Consider the following 17,932-nt stretch of genomic DNA (forward strand, 5'->3'; position numbering starts at 1 on the left):
GCAATTCGTCACATGAAGTTCTCTCTAGTCTTACCCTGTGGGAAACAGTGGGGGTATCGGACAATGGCGGTCAATTAGAAACAAAGTACATGGATGGGGCTCACAGTGACCATAACAGTAATCTTACTCATGGCTTTGCATTCCAGCCAGCAGAGTTGCACCATCAGAAAAACTAGGCAACAGCATCATTCTGCAGCAACCAAACATGGTTAATGGGTCTGCCAGGCTCAAATCACTGGCCAACTGCCAAATCCCACCCTGGTTTTCTCTGCAAAACTTCCAAGGCTGTGACAAAGAGGCAGCTTGGTGATTATCCACGGAAGGGTCATGTGACCCCACCCATTCCCAGCTGCCATACTTTTGACCATCCTAGCCCTGTGTGCTCCACCCATCCCCAGGCTGAAAAGCAGAGGCAATTTAGTGGTTAAGGATGAAGTTTCTGGCCCTACCTGGACCCAGTGGGCAAGTAGCTTATATGATAAGTCTTGGTACCCCTGGAAGGAAGTTCACTTCTGATGTATCTAGTGGAAATCACCAGGGTGTTAGAATCCCTAGAGCACATGACTTTATTGAGAAACAGAATTCCAGTCTCGGCTCCAGCCCCTCCCACTGCTGTTGGGAAGCAACTACCCTGCTGGGGAAAGGGCCTGTCTGAGCTAATGAATGTAGGCTGTCCAGGCTCTGTCCAGCAGAAAATGGATCTAGACTCTCCAGCCTCTGTCCCCTATAGGGATGACCCACTCTCAGCTCTGGCCTTTCCACTTTAGTCAGGGAACTCTATAATCCTTGAGAAACTTTCTGGGCAATATGCAACTTTCTTAGGAGAGACCAGGCTCTAAATGATCTGTTCAACAGCGGGTGTCAAGGGACCTGATTGTCAGCCCCAGGCCCTTCTGCGGCAGGCAGAAAATTAGCTCAACCGTGCAGAGACCTTCCAGTAACCATCACAGCCAAAATTACAGGCATTCCATTCTGTGTTCTGCAACAGAATCTAAGTGGACACAGTCTCAGCTTCAGCTTGTCCAATTTCAATTTCTGAAATGGAATCATTAGTAATAAATAACCTACAAGCCAAAAAAAAAAAAAAAAAAGCCCAGGAACCGATAGATTCCGGATGAATTCTACCAGATCTACAAAGAACTGCATCATATTCCATTGTGTGGGTGATCCCAGTTTGTTCAACTGGTTGTGTATGTATGCTTACACACACACACACAGGCACACACCTGTGTTTCATGTTCCCTCAAAAAGCTGCAGTGGAAATGCCAGGCCAGCCTCTGGTATCATCCGAAGGATCAGTGGGGAAGGACCCACGCCTTTGCTTGCATTACATTGTTGCCAGCAACCCTGTCCACAATGGCATCTTTTCAGTGGTTTCTTACAGCTCTTTAGAGAATCTGCAATTATGTTTATTTGTATGGTTTACAATATATTCGTTAACCTTTATCTCTAAACTTGAGGCTGGGTACAATGGCTCAAGTCTGTAATATCAGTACTTTGAGAAGCTGATGTTGGAGGATGCTTTGAGCCCAAAAGTCTGAGACTACAGTGATGTATGATTCAGCCCGGTGACAGAGCAAGACCCTGCCTCTAAGTAAATAAATAAGAAAAATACAACTGATAGTAATATTTTTGTTTTACAGTTTGGAAACACAAATTTCCTTGATCAAATAAATGAATATTTGATAGTCACTAACACAGGACATTTGCTTGTGTATGGGAACCAACGCAGGAAAGCAGTAGGATTAGATGCTCTTTCCCCGTAATCCCTGAACATGTATATACTGTGATGATGATAAGGGGTGAATTTGGATCAGGAAGTCTTTCTGCCAGAGCCATCAAAACTGTGGAAATAAAACCCTCCACAAATCAGGAAACAAAACAGTTTTTACTGATAATAGTAACTATAAAATCTTTTGCAGATTTGGTTTCATTTTTAATTTAGTGTAGATTAGGCAGCGTAACACAGACTACCCTGCCCCTAATAGTATGCGATTTGATGACAAATGTCAATTAGACTTGGTTGTTGAAAACTACAAGAATCTTAGTTAACAGCGTAGTTACATGAATAATTTTGACAATATAAACCAGCTTATTTTAAACTTTCAGTTAGTCCACTAGACACCAAAATATTATTTTAAACATAGTTCAGAATTGATGTGGATAATGGGCAAAATGGCAAGCTTCTATTTTTATTCATTTCCTTTGGTTTTATGCCTTTCATTCTCTCCTTTCTCCCCTTCCTTCCTTCCTTCCTTCCTTTTTTCCTTCCTCCCTCTCTCCCTTCCTTCCTCCATCCCTCTGTCTCTGTTTCTTCCTCCCTCCCTCCCTCCCTCCCTTCCTTCCTTCCTTCTTATTTTTCTGTATCTCTGTTTCTCTCTTTGATTTTTTTTTTAGGTGAAACCATACTCTGTTGCCTAGGCTGGAGTGCAGTAGCATGATCTCATCTCACCGCAACCTCCCCATCCTGGGTTCAAGCAATTCTCCAGTCACACCCTCCTGAGTACTTGTGACTGCAGGTATATGACACCAATCCTGGCTTTTTTTTTTTTAATTGTATTTTTAGTAGAGGCCAGGTTTTACAATGTTTGCTCAGGCTGGCCTCAAACTACCATCCTCAAGTGATCCACCCACCTCAGCCCCTCAAAATGCTGGGATTCCCAGCATGAGCCACAATGCCCACCAAGTTTTATGCATTTCTTTCCTCAGTCATTTCTCCTATCTCTTTTATTATTTTTTATTTTATTTTATTTTTATTCCTGAGACAGAGTCTCGCTCTGGTGCCCAGGGTGGAGTGCAGTGGTGTGATCTCACTTCACTGCAAACTCCTTCCCCGGGGTTCAGTGGATTCTCCTGCATCAGCCTCCCAAGTAGCTGGGATTATATCCATGGGCCACCACACCCGGTTAGCTTTGGTATGATATTAGACATGGGATTTTACCGTGTTGGCCAAGCTTGTCTCAAACTCCTGACGTCAAGAAATCACCCACCTTGGCCTGCCAAACTATTGGGAGTGCAGGTGTGAACCTCCGTGCCCTGCCTCATATCTGTTTTAAAGCTCAGTTGATTAGCAATATTATCTTCCTGGAATGCTTTATGTTTACAAAACAACTATAGCATTATTATTTAGCCCCTTCGGATAAAATATGGTAGTACTCAAAACATACATACAGTCAGTGATCAAAAGATCAGTGTAGGCCAGGACCTAAAATGAAAGACGAGTTGCTGCAGTTGACTAGCATTAAAGCAGACCAGAGTTGACCCATACCCAGCCAGGAGATGTGAACAGAGGCTTTCAAAAAACTCCATCAGATACATGTTAGATTATTCTCCAGCCATAGCAAGGGGACATTAAAGATCTGTTTGTGTTTAGAAGAGTCTCGATGGTTTGGCTTTTCCAGGGTATTAGCATTCGTGGCATTGGCCTTTAAAGCTCTCCGTAATTACTCAAATCAGTAGACAACTCAGTTTTTCTAGGAGTCTAAAGTGCTTTTCAAAATTATGTAAAACTTAATGGCTTAAAACAATAATTATAATTTACTAACTTCAGTCTCTGCAGTCTTCCACAGTCTCTCAGCCAAATGATTGTGGTTCAGGGGCACTCAGGAGGATGCAATCTAATGATGGCTCAGGACGGTGACATTGTCAGGTGTCTTCTCATCTCCCTGGTGCCACGGCTAGCATAACTCAAATAGTGGGGCTGGACTGCTGAGATTCTCGGGCATCTCATTCTATTTCTATGAGTCTCTCCATGGGATGTCCCTTCTGCATAGTGTTATCAGGGTGTTAGACTTCGTGATATACTCGTCAGGGGCTCCTGAGGAGTTTGGCCCCATGAGAGCAGGAGACTTAGGCAGAGCTGTGATACCTTTTCTAACCTAGGCCAGAAGTGGCCCAGTATCCAGAAAATGCTTGCACTGTTTTCTATTCATTAGAAGCAAGTGCTGTGTTCAGTCCCATCAGGAATATTTTCAAATGGGTTTGCAGAGAATTTCAGTGTTTTCGACCAGTACAATGGCGATGCCTAATAATTACTTATTTTTATAAGTGCTGGATGGGTTTTACCAAGCATAATAGCAGATACAGACTTTTAAGCTTAAAACCTAGATGTCATAGCTCTGAACATTTGGTTGTATGTTGAAATAATTCTTACGGAAAAATTGACTTTGAAATGAGAGCTATAAATAAATAAAATAAATGAGATAAACTCATAAATATCTGCATGAAATGCTTATAAAGAGGTCAGCCTTAAAAATGTCATGAGGTCTAATGTGCCACTATTTTACTATTTCTATGGATATGACTTGGACAGGAGGACAAGGACTCAGGGGTCTGCTGGTCAGTCTCTGCAACTTGAAACAGCGGCTGGGGCACCAGGAGTAACACTTCCAGCCAACACCATGTAGTGAGGACAAGGAGTCCATCTGGGTTAAGGAGGGTGTCAGCATAATGTGACCTGAAGGAGAGGTACACCTTCTACAACCAGGATCAAGTTCTCTGGCATTGAAATCCGCCATGCCCAGCTGTGGCAGAGTGAATTGCTCAGCTGGTGCTGGGTTTCTAGGTGTGTTCGGGAAGCAGCTCCCTGGGCTGGGAAGGATCCCCTCATTCCCTTGCCATGTGGGAGGGTGAGGTTTGTGGCCTCTGCTCTGTCTGTTCCAGCTCTTTCCCTTCCCATTATCCTGCTGCTGGGAAAGATGGCAGGACCCTGGAATGGAGAAGGGCCCTGGGTTGTTGACAGTGCCTGTGGGTGGTCATGTACTAGGAGGAGAGTCCTCACTGAGCCTCCTGTGAGCTTGGAGGCTGGGAAGGAACACTTATGGGGCACTGGCTGTTCCAGAGTCCAGGGGCCTGTCCCGGAGAAGCCTGGGGGGAAGTCGTTAAGCCTGTGGTTCTGCAATCTAGGTGGAAGAGCTGTATCTGCCATGGCTGACATCATCAGGGCAAGACACCCACTGGGTGGAGAGCTGGACTTATGCATTTTTATCCCTGTCCTGAAGGGACCCTGCATGCCTGCCTCTCCGGGGACCAGTCATCCTGGGGACCCCCTCTCTGGGACCACTCATGACCATAAGCTTAGGCTCTTGTGTGCCTTGCTTCCTGTCTGCCCAGGTGAGGCAACCTGGAGAGGATATGCGGGGCGAAGCTCATGTGCACACGTGCAGCACTGGAACGGGGTGTCACCAGCCAGTTAGGCCGCTGCTCACCAGGCCCTCTCCTGAGCTCCCACCTGGCTAAGTGGTAAGTGTCCCATCTACATGACCCTGCAGCCCAGGGTTTCTCCTCCACCTACCAACCCTCTTGGGGAGAATGCCATCTTCCCTGGAGACTCAGGACCTGCTGGACCCACATGCTGTCCTCCTCTCTCATGGGCTGGACACTGTCTAGTGCACAGGGATTCCTGGATAGCGAATCCCAAAACCCCACGGGTTCCATTGCTTCTTCCCTGAATGCCTGCCTTCCCCAACCGAACACACAGGAAGACCCAGCTGCTAGGTTTTATTTCCCGCCAGGTGTCATTTCAGGTCCATGACATCTCCTATAGGTAGCTCGCACCAGGCACCCATTTCCTCCTACTACCTCTGCCATTTGTGAAAACCATGAGGACTCTTCCTGTCTCCCAAAAGGGCAGGCTTCACAGGTCCTGAAGTTGGACTGCCAAACCCCGCAGTGCCCTGCTTGCCAGCTCAAGAGCTGAGTTTGAGGCACACATGTGGGCAGGAGTGTGGCCCCCCCCAAATCAAGGTACACAAAGGTACACAGGCACAAGTGTGCACATGCGTGCACAGCTCAGACACGGAGGCTAGAACATACCCACCCTCATACTGGTATGATTGAAACTGGGTGACTACACCAATACTAATGTGGACCTTAATGCTCAGCCACATTCCTTCGCTACACACACAGAGAAGGTTCCCTGCCATTTAACTGATCATCTACAATGGTATTTACTTTTACTTTCATACTTTTTTTTAACTTACCAAAGTATGTTGCATTCTTTCCCCCGTCATGAAAGACTTTGATACAAGTAAGGAGGAAGGGCACTTTTTATAATAAAATCCTGTATCTGCATCTGTATTATTAAGGCATTTAAAAAACTTTATGTCTATTTTTTAATGTCATAGGAAATGTCTCAGGGGCCGGGGAAACATGAGTGAGGATGGCAGAGGGGAGAAAGCATGTCAGGGGAGACTGGGGTCATTGAACCAAAACATGACACGACTGGGATAGCCATTCTAGAAGGACACAGACCTAGACACGCCTCAAGTGCACCTCTCTGTGGCAGGTAAGAGGGCCCTAGTGGAGGCCAAACTGAGCCCCAGGTGGTAGCAGGCCTCAAGGCGTGGAAGGGAGCCAGAGAAGGATGATGCGGCAGCTATCCATTGAGATTGCTTCTCACCCATTGACCTTTGCCACTTCTGTGTCTTAGGTGACTTTGGGTGCCCCAGTTCTGAAATATGAGTGTTACAGTTCCCTGATGGGCTTTTCTCCCTCAGCCCAGGGATGGCCTGGGATTTCTCAGTGCAGGCTCCTCCCCGAGCCTTGAGTTCTCCATGTGTGTCCCAGCTCCAGGACCCACAGGCCTCTGAGCCCCCAGCCCTGGGTTGCTTACCTGGTTTCCTCTCTGTTTCCTCTCTGAGGGCCTAACTCCTTCCGGTAGTGCTGCAGGGGGATTGAGACAGAGGCCCTGAATGATGATCTGGGGGACTGAGAAAAGGGATCCGTGACTGGTCAGGTCATGGTTCAAAGCCAGTTCCCCAGATGCCAAGGAAAGACCAGCAAGGTCCTTTCCCATGACACCCCTCAGCGGTGCCCACCTCAGCAATCCTGGCTGACCTTTAGTGGTCACGGTCAGCCAACCAGCGGAAGAAGCTCAGTTAGGCTGTGTCCTGCCTGAAGCTGGGGTCTTCTGCTGCATGACTCTAGAAACACTGGACTACAGTAGAGACAGATGCCATGTATCCTGGAGCAAGAAGATTTGGGTAGGCTCATGCCAGGCCTAGCCTCCCACACTCCACCCGCTCTATCATTCCGGGAGGCACTCCTTACCGAGGATGCCAACACGATATTCCTTAAAGATCACTTCATTGTGGAAATAAAGACTGTGACAAAAGGAACACTTCATCCTGCCACCAGTACCCTGGATGGCTGAGTTCCTCCACCTGCTACACCAAGAAGAAGAGGACAGACTCAAAGGATCCATTTCATCTAGTTGGGCTGAGGGCCTGCTGGCTAGGGTGAAGCATGCGTTTTCCCTTCCCAGCTCTCCCACTGAGACACCCCCAGACCCCAAGAGGACCTCAACCTGACCAGGACCCTCGATCCCTCCCCCAGACCCAGGCACCCTAGCCTGATTTGCAAATCCATCCTGTAGCTTACTTAGCAGGACTTCCTCATGGTTTCTGAAACCTGCCGACATCTGGGTGTGCGGCACAATCTGCCTCTGGTCAAGGAGCCTCCAGATGACTGGGTGGGTGTGCCAGGAAACACCCTGCAACTTTGCAAGAGCTGGGAGACTGTTGGGCAGGGCTATCCCCCAGACCTTTGGCCTGGCACTTTGCATTGGTGATCCTGTCTCTGTCCAGCATGAGGGGCACGGTAACGGATATGGTGGTCTTGTGGGCAAGTGGAGGGAGGCCCAGAAAGACTCTGCCAACAAGGAGTGGGGAGCACAAGTTGGCAGGGTTTGGGTGTGGGGTGCTGTGGTGTGAGGCAGTTGTTTCCTCAGAGTTCCTGAGCTGCACATGGCCCTTGTGCACTGGGTGCTAGATAGGCTCTGCTGAGGGTGTCAAGGTGTGTGGTACCCTCTTCTGTTCTCCCTGAGGGGTGGGTGTGTCCACTTGAGGGAACCGGTGTGGGTAGAAAGGACTGCAGGGCTGTACCTGGTGCTCCCCATGGGGCTCATGTGTGTGCAACGGAGGCATGTGTGCAAAGGAGGATATATATGCTCAGGGCCCGCAGCTCTTTGGGTGCAACACAGGCAGAGGGAAGAAAGACTGTCTGGGTACCTGGTGCCTGCCTTGCAGAGGACAGCAGCCCCGTGCACCATGAACCCGAGTCTTGAGTACCTTGTGTTTCTGGTGTGAGGCCTCTGGACACACACACATGGGGAGTGGGTGTGGTTCGATGGCTGGTATGAGCATGCAGACTCCCTTTCCTCCAAGGACTTTCCCAGGGAAACGTGCCCTTCAACTTTCTGCTGTGAGTGAAGGGTCCTTGACACCCCTATTTTCTCTTGTGAGTGCTGAGCTTGGCTCCCAGTCCCTATCACATGCTCTCAGGTCACCCTCAAGCAAGCTGCCCTACTATCTGCAGTATCCTTGCCTCAGCTCCCCTCGCTGTCTCCCATCCCCTGCCTCCTGGCTGACCCTGTGTGCCCCTGGCCTGGCTCCGTTGCTCCCCGCCCCCGGAAGCCCGACTCCCACCTCCTGCTGCCAGTCATCCCGAATGGGCAGTTACAAAGATATGGCTCTGGCCTAGAAGCCGGAGATGCCCTGGATGATGGCCCCTGTGCCCTCCAGGCCAGGCAGACACTTCTGACAAAGCTTCTGCCTCAGCCATGGGCAGGGCATGTGGCCTGGGGCATTCACGGAGCCCAGCTCCCTGTGAAGGACCTCCAGCGACTCTGTGGCCGGCTGGGGCATGCTGGGGCCAGGGCAGGCTGTGTTCACTGGTCCTCCACCTGCCGCTCCATGTCGGCTTTCTCCTCAACCACCACCTAGACCACCGCCGTGACGTCGTCCACCACCAGCACCTTCTCCTCCTACAGGGGCACCTCCACACTCCGTGCCCTGGCTGCCCTCTCCTGCAGAGCCTCCAATTTCAACAGGGTGCCTCCTTTGGAGGTCCCATTGCCTACAGCCTGCACTGTCACCTTCACGTCTGGATAGGTATATCCTTAAAATATACGTAAAGAAAAATAACTTAAAAGTGTTCCTGTTTCTCCACATCCTCTCCAACATCTGTTGTTTCCTGACTTTTTAATGGTCGCCATTCTAACTGGCATGAGATGGTATCTCATTGCGGTTGCAGGGCCATGGATGAAGCTGGAAACCATCATACTAAGCAAACTATCACAAGGACAGAAAAACAAACACCACATCTTCTTACTCATAAGTGGGAGTTGAACAATGAGAACACATGGACACAGGTGGGGGAATATCACACATCTGCCCAGTTGGGGGGTGGGGGACTAGGGGAAGGATAGCATTAGGATAAATACCTAATGTCAATGACGAGTTGATCAGTGCAGCAAACCAACATGGCGCATGTATCCCTATGTAACAAACCTGCACGTTCTGCACATGTACCCTAGAACTTAAAGTATAATTTTAAAAAATGAAAAAAAACTGAAAAGGAAAAATGGCTCTCCAAACCCAAATACTAAACAGAAAATTAGTATCAAGTGGCCTAGAATGTAATTTACATGAAAATGTCACAAACATTCAGCAGATAGTTTCTAAATGCTACAATAAGCCTGACAGTCTGCAAGAAGCTCAGAAAAACATGGTCCTTGCTCTTCTCAGAGTGCAGTTGTTACAGGCACAGATAAATGAGGAATAATAAGTATGATAACTGCTGTAATAGGCAAATACAGGAACTATAACTGGAAATAAAGACAATGATTTTGATAAACAAAACTTTAATAAACAATGAAATATTTAAAAAAAAAGACTCATGATTTTAATAAACGTTGCCTCCTTCTTCCCTCCAGAAGAAAACTCATGCCTCTGCTTTATTGGCTGACATGTTCCTAAGGAGATGTAACAGGTCTGATTTGTATTAGTAAATCACATTTGCCTCATTTATGAAACATGTGTTTAAAAATCCTCTTAAAGGTCAAATGAGACTATTTGCTGTTGCTGGATAAATTGTCAAGTGCTACCCAAATATTATTTTCTCATGGTGATTTATACCGTGTGTATATTACATAGTTAGCGTAGCATTCTCATAAAGGAAACCTTGAAACACATCTGCTGCTCGGTTTTTATTTTTCAACTGTTTCAGTCATTATTATTTATCACATGCTTTCTAGGGGCTTTTGAATTTTAAAGAGATATGTATACACCAAAAAGAGAAGGACAATGAAATTGTGAGACTACAGTCATAATGATTTCATTGATTAATTCAATTGTTTACAGGGCTAGATTAGATTATATTTCTCCCAAAAGATTCTCGGAGAAATTCTAAGATGACGCACCCACTGTTTGAAATGGCCAAAAAGTTGTTGCTTAAGTTAGAGTTAACTCTTTTTAAAGCCTGAAGATAAAGTAATAGTTTCGTGAATTACAACAGGGAAAATAGGATTTTTAGTGCTACTTGCTCTCATCAGAAATAATCGTTAACTTTTAAATTGTTCTTTATGTCACATTAAATTTTTCATTTCCATCTCATGTTTTGGATGTGGTATGTATTTTTAAATGCATTTTCACCCTTATTGTGCTTCTGTGAGAAACTGCAGATTTAAGTTCATATCATAATTATCTTTTAGTTTTATTTGTTTGTTCCTAAAGGTTCACAGAAATAAAGAATTCCATTTATGCTTGTATCTTTCAGCAACCTCATTTCAGATAACGGTGCACATTATTGCAGGTATCACATGTACAGGTCCAAAGGGAGAAAAAGAAGAAAGTAAGCTTTTAAGTCTAAATATTTGTAACACTAGATCAGAAACTCAGTATTCATAGTGAAATCAAAAAATGATCACAGTCAATTCCATCTCATACCTAGACTGAAATAAGAACCTTCAAAAGCAAAGAAAGTTAAGAGCTTTGGGCTTGTCAAAATTTTCCTATACAGATAAAATTATTGGTGACTTTCTCTCACTAGAAAACATAAACAAAAATTCATCCTTCATATATGTGTAAATAAAATATTTTTATTTCTATCAGTTATAACATGCAAGCAAGTAATACAGTGAAAGTACAATAATAAAACGATATAAGGAAATTTCTCTGTGTCAACAAATTCCATCGAGGCCATTAATTTTACAAAACCCATAGAGAATACTTCATGAAACTACATTATACTCTACTCTTTAGTATTTTACTTACATTTTAAATAATCAACAAATTAAATAAAATTCTTAATCATTATTTATTACCAATAACATTATTCTACTCAAGTAATCCTTTTGAGATTAAATATTTTAAATAAAACATTAAAAACAAATTGTATTGACTGATATCAGCTTTTGATGAAATAATACTTCTGTATTTGTAGTCATGTGAAGTATAACTTTCTCCTCACAATGGATCTTTTATAACACCAGTGGTATTGCTTTCTCTGATACAAAGCCTTTTTGATCTCACAGCTTTACTGTATCTACATATTACATTCCTCCAGATAGTAGGCTTCAAACAGATGGAAAAAATTATATTTGTGACAAAATTCTAGGAAAGGGAATGGTAAAACGGGACAATAATTTCTAAATTTCTAACTGTTCATCCATGGATTTGGATATATTAAGATATAGACAAATATTTGCACACTGCAAGTTTGCACATGTGTTTATAAATTTAAATGAGGTATCCATAATGTATGGGTTGTGTAATCTTTTAATTAATCCTCAATTTTACATGTGGGAAATTTGAAAAGGGTTTATCCTTATCAAATACTCAATTCGAAGTACTATACTGAATGTATAGTACTTTGATGTAAAGCCAACAAAATCTCTGTCAACGTTCATTTCAATTAATCCATTGATGTTAACTGCTGATAGCTTCATTCTCCTTGATCCCTGTTGGCAGCCTGAAAGCTAATTCTCACTCTAATTCAGCACTCAGGGTGCCACCCACAAGTGACTAACACCTTGCTGTGGATTGTGACCTCTGACTCTACCACTTTTGTCCTATAACAGTCCTACCTTTGCATATTTAATGAACTTTGTACATGGTTAAAAAATAAAACTGTAGTGAAATGTCAGGCCATGCTGTGAGATGTTCCATTGCTTCTGTATCTCTAATTAGATGTTCCATTGCTTCTGTATCTCTAATTGACCTTTCATGTTATAGAGGACAAGAAAAACAATTCAATACATTACTTAGTAACCAATCCAATGCACCCTTTCTTATTAATATGCCAAACCCATCCCTTCAAGGCACTGACATCTAAACACAGCTAGATGTATCAAAATCTCTTCTCATTAATAACCATTATGTTAATCACTGTTGCCCAGATCTGGACTCTGACTGTGAAATCCTAGGGTGGAAATTGCTATAATGGCTCAAACTGCGGGAATGACTATGTTTCGGCATAATTACTGCTGTCATCTTACTGAAAAATATCACATTAGATGGCAGCTTCTAGTTACATAAATCCTGTTGATTAATGTCCAGCATTTATGATATTGCACAAGTAAAGATCTTTGATAACTTAAATGATTAGCTGAGCAATAATTAAAATAACTCACAGCAATTTAAATATTCATTTACTTACTAGAAGTGCCATACATCATTAACTCCTGATGAAAACAAAGTGGGGAAATTGCAAGTGCTGAACTGGTTACTGAAGTATGTATTTCGGGGTATTTTATAAAACTATCCATGCCATGTATGATGCCTCACCTGCAAGGATAAAGCTTTAACATATATGAAAAATAAGTGTCTTTGGTTCTTAATATCTTCCTACATTTGTCTTCATAACTTCAACACAAAAACACTCATATACTCGACTTTTGGCTGGGCTGACTACCAGTTATTAGGATTTAAGTAAATAGAATAAAGATTTCAAAATTCGATGACCAAATATGAGAAATCACACTCTCCCCGTAACATACAATTATTCTCAAGTGCCACTGCTAATGCAAAATTGAAAGAAGAAATTAAGTCTAATATATTGCAATATTCTAAAATCTAAAATTTTTTCTTTGAGGTCTGGTGGTTCATGCCTGGAATTGCAGCTCTTTGGGATGCTGAGAAGGGAGGATTGCTTCAAGCGCAGGGTTCAAGACCAGCCCAGGCAACATAGCAAGTCCTATCTCTACAAATGTAACTAATTAAATACTTAATTAAATTGGGCATGCTGGCACACATCTATCTTCTATTTACTCAGCAGTTCAAGGTCGTAGTGAGCTGTGATTGCACACTGCACTTCAGCCTGGGCCATGAGGTAAGACTTTGTCTCTACAAAATAATTCAATATAACAAAACAAAATAAAATAAAAACACTTTATTTGTTTTTTGGAAGTTTGCTTAATTGCTCCAAAGCATAGACATTGTTTAAAAAGTTAAGCAGTTCATGGGGAATCGGCAGTGAACATTGTTTATATTGTTTTCCAAAAATTAGGATAAATGTTAGAATATTATATATAAATATCTCATAACCTTTTGTACAATAAATATTGACAAATGTCAAGCCATCGTGTTTATAGACTTTTCCTTCAAAATATTCATAGTTTAATTGGAGGATGAAGAGAAGAGCAATAATTGCAATGTACTCTGACAAGTGTTACAATAGATACAATTTAGTAACTTAGCTGGAGAGGAAGGAAGTGCTTAACTGGGTTTACAGGGGTTGGGGGAACTTTCTCAGGTCAGGAACAACTGATGCATCTGTAAGGATACAAATTTGCAAGACGAATGTTTGGGAGAAAAACACTGTAGAAAAAAAGAAACATTATTTCTATCAATGATAGACATACTAACAGTGCATATGATGCCATCTGCCCAATTCTTAGACTATACTAGCTCAATAAATATTTCTTGAATGAATCCATGAATGGAAGATACTGGGAAAAGAATGCTGGAAGGGATTTTCAAAATCCAGTGAAACAAAGGTGAATACTCTGGACTTTACAATTTTGCCTGCCGTTCTTTAAGTTCTTGTTATGTTTACTACCTCATAAGCTCTGTTTTACTTTTTGTTGTTTTCACAAATATCACGCATGATATCGTTCCTGAGACTAATTCTCTCTTGATCCCTTGATACTATATTTGTCTCTGATACTCCTTTGTGTGAGGTCCTGGGTTTTTATGCCCACAGCTACGTCACTCACCTCTCCCTGGCACTATTCTGTAATAGAGAGGCCTGGCCCCTGGGAGGCAGGGTTCCTAGGCTCTCATAAAAATTACTTCCTGTTTCAGCTCAGTCAAGGGATGACACTGCAGAGATTAGAGAACAAAAAGATGAGAGAAGCCAGTTTGTGTCGCCTTCCTTCTCAGCAGGGTATGTTTCCACAGTGATTCCATGCCTGCAGGACATGCTCTCTGTGTTTCCATTTTCCATGTAGTGACCCGAATCCTAGACTGGCTCTTCTAATGCCGTTTTCTCCAATTGTCTTTTTGAAGGATTTGGGTACTATTGTACTATTTTGGAGTTTAAAATTTAAAAAAATATTGATATGGACAGGGGGGCAGGGAAGTGCCTGATAGAGGAGGGTGTGGTTCTTGGCTAGGGATTCACCCTCAGGCTTGTGCTCATTGACCTAGGTGAGGCCATGCACTTCTGTTTTCTTGCCCAAATTGGTGAGGACATGCGCTTCTGTTTTTTTGCCCAAGTGTTGCATTTTCCAAGAGCACCCTGGCCTGCCATACCCCCATCCTGTGCTATCAGAAACCCCGAGACCCTAGCGGGCAGAGACACAGTAGCTGACGTCGAGAAGAACCATCAGCAGAAGAAGACACAAGCAATTGGACCTGGAGAAGACACCGGAGGAAGGAGAGCGCAAGGACAGAGGCGGCAGGCCATCCACCGCAGAAGAACACAGAGTTGCGTGGGGCTGTGGAAGGAGAGCGCTCACCTGCCCCATTTCAAGGGAAAACCACCTTCCCGCTCCGTCTCCCTTCTGGCTCCCCATCCATCTGCTGACAGCTTCCACTCAATGAAACCTGCACTTACTCTCCAAGCCCACGTGTGAGCCAATTCTTCAGCTACACCAAGGCAGGAAACCCCAGGATCCAGAAAGCCTTCTGTCTTTGCAGAAAGGCAGAGTGTCTAATTGAGCTGACACAAGCCGTCTACAGATTGATAAACTAAAGTAACACCGTGTAACACATGCCCGCTGGGGATTTAGGAGCTGTAAACATTCACCCCTAGATGCTGCCTGGGGTCAGAGCCCCACAGCCTGTCCTCATTGCTAGCTCTGCAGCGGGGGATAAGGGACGTTTTCCCGTTGCACTATGAGTCTGTTTCCAATGCAGTGTGCTTTCTGCAATACTGCAGTGTTACCTCATTGCATATATTTGACAAAATAAGTTACAAACTATAATGTGAGAAGAAAATAAATGGTGGAGAATAAGGAAGAAAAATGAAACATTGTGTCAGTAAGGAATGTTTTTTACTTCATGTAACAGAAAAAGTAAACATGAATTAAATAAACAGGAATTTCCGGTTTTCACATGTTAACCAGCCACAGTTAGGCATTTGGCGCCTTTGATCAGTTGCATTGCTGCATGGAAGTAGCGTAGCTGCATGGTAGTAGCACTGACTTTTTTTTTTTTTTTGCTATTTTCTCCAAGGTGAAACCTAGCTCAAATCCAACACCATGTTGGGTCCAGTTGTTGCTAGCCAGCTTTGCCCACACTCTGGTTTTTCAGTCTTATCAGCTTCTAGTGTATGCAGCTACTTTAACAGTGTGTTTTTGCTAGTCATGTGAAACTGCTGCCTGAGATTTTCTATTCTCCTGCAATCATCTAGTATTTTTCCTGGCTCAAATTATGTGACTTGCTCATTTTTCTCCTCAGGACACTGCAGGATGTTCTTTACCTGGTTTTTTAAAAGAGCATTGGTAAACCAGTTTCATTTCCCTCAAATACTTCTGAGAATTCCTGAGAAACTTATACATGTCTCACTGGACTGCACCACTGCCCACTCAGCTGCCTGTTATTGACTTCTTTCTTTAGATAAGATCCCCCAGACAGCAACTGCATGGGCCCTCCCACCCCCACTCCCACTAAAGACCAACATCCAATGTTTAAAACATTTTAAGTCTTAGATATAGCATAAAGGGATTATGGAATACAAAACAACACATCAGACACATATATTAAGAAAACTTCAGCCAGTATCAGTCTTTGACAACAAAGGTAACCATTTTAACTACACGGTATAAATATATTTACACATAAAGTGTATGCATAGGGAAATGTTTCTCACATTGTATATACTTTCTCCAGTGATGTCTTAGGCACTCATTTAAAATAGGTCACTGATTGAATTACAACTGTAACCTATAATGAAAATAGCAGAGTAGAAAGGTGTAGAAAGGCTTTTTTTTTTTTTTAAACAGCTCATATGTACACATTGTTTGGTCTTCCAGTTGTGCTGTTTCTTTTGTATGAGTGTGTATATGTTTATGTAATTTTAGATAGTTACAGAGAATAGATTTAGTCGAAGTAATTAGAAATTAAGCAGACTTCTTTGTAATAAAAAAGGAAATGATTAACTTTAATTGAATTTTAGTGCAACAGTAAAACTGGATAAGAATTTATTCTTACTCAGGGAAAAGATGTACTGTGTTTTGCAGACTGAAAGAGTTCTTTCCTGAGTAAGCCAGTGTTGGCCTTTATTGCAGAAATAGATTGTTTTTGGTAGACCCCTACAGCCAGCTACCTGCAGAGAAAGAAATTCTACTAGAGAGGATTCTAAATTGAGTATTAAATACTCTTTCTTTAGGTGAAGCATTCACATACAATATTCTTTTACATTCAGCATAATTATAAAAGTTAATTTTAGAACACTTTCCAAAAAAATAAAGCAATTATAAAAATTAGGGAGATAATTGTATATTCCTCCTTTAAAAAGTTTTAGCCTATTCAAATCTAACAAGTCCACTCTGAAATACCTGTAAATAAGATACGAAATGAATAAGAAAATACAGCAGAATGTACCAGATGTTTTCTATGTGTTGGATATACATACATCTGTTAGTTTTTAATGGCAGACAGAGTGCAGTCTACATAATTTTATTCATAGGAGATGCCTATGCATCATATATTCACAGATAACTATTATTTCTCTGAAGATTGAAATAGAAAGCTAGGAAAACACAACACAGCACATACACTGGATTATATTTAAGCAAATGTGAATTGTATAGTTACATGATCTCTTCCAGGGGCTTCTTATCACTCTCTCACTGGGTAGTCTAAGGATTGATTAAAGTTCCTAGGCTCTTTCAAGCTAAGAAACACTATGTAAGTGCTATGCATTATCATGGTAACACGAGAGTGAGGCATAAGTGATTTGCAACATCATAGGCTCTTTGAAATGTGCGTCTAGTCTGATTGAAAGTTTTCTCTAACAGTGTTTTATGTATTGGAAAGTGCTTATCATATTTGAAGATGAAATGTGCTCTACTGAAATCATGCAAATCTGCAAAATCAATCTTTGTTCTATATATTAGTATAATGATGTTTCTCAAAATAGAAGAAAACTTGGGATATGATTTCAAAGGTAATTTATAATAAGGTAGAATTTTGACATCAATTATAACTTGTCTATTATCATTTGATTGACTCAGCTGTTGCTCTCTTAATTAGTGCAACTGAAGTCTAGTTAATTTGCATAAAGGTAGCTATCCCATCTTACAGACTTTTAAAGACAGTCAGGAGACTATTCACTGTTTCTATAAAGCTTACATAGATTTTATCAACATGTTTCAGTCATGTATGACTGACTGCAATAGCATCAGTTCTAAAATGTAATTTATACATTAATAATTCCTTTAATATTTTTATTTTTATTTTTATTATGGATTCAGAGAGTACATGCACAGGCTTATTACAGAGGTATATTACATGATGCTGACATTTAGTCTTCTATCGATCCCGTCACCCAGATAGTGAACATAGTACCCAACAGGAAGGTTTTCAGCCCCTGCCCCTCTCCCTCTGTCCCTCCTTTGGAATCTCCAGTGTCTATAGTTCTCATCTTTATTTCTGTGCACCCAACCAAGTTTTAGCTCCTATTTATGAGAATATTCAATATTTGA

Source organism: Homo sapiens, chromosome Y (assembly GCF_000001405.40).
Source record: "Homo sapiens chromosome Y, GRCh38.p14 Primary Assembly".
In the NCBI taxonomy this organism is placed as follows: domain Eukaryota; kingdom Metazoa; phylum Chordata; class Mammalia; order Primates; family Hominidae; genus Homo; species Homo sapiens.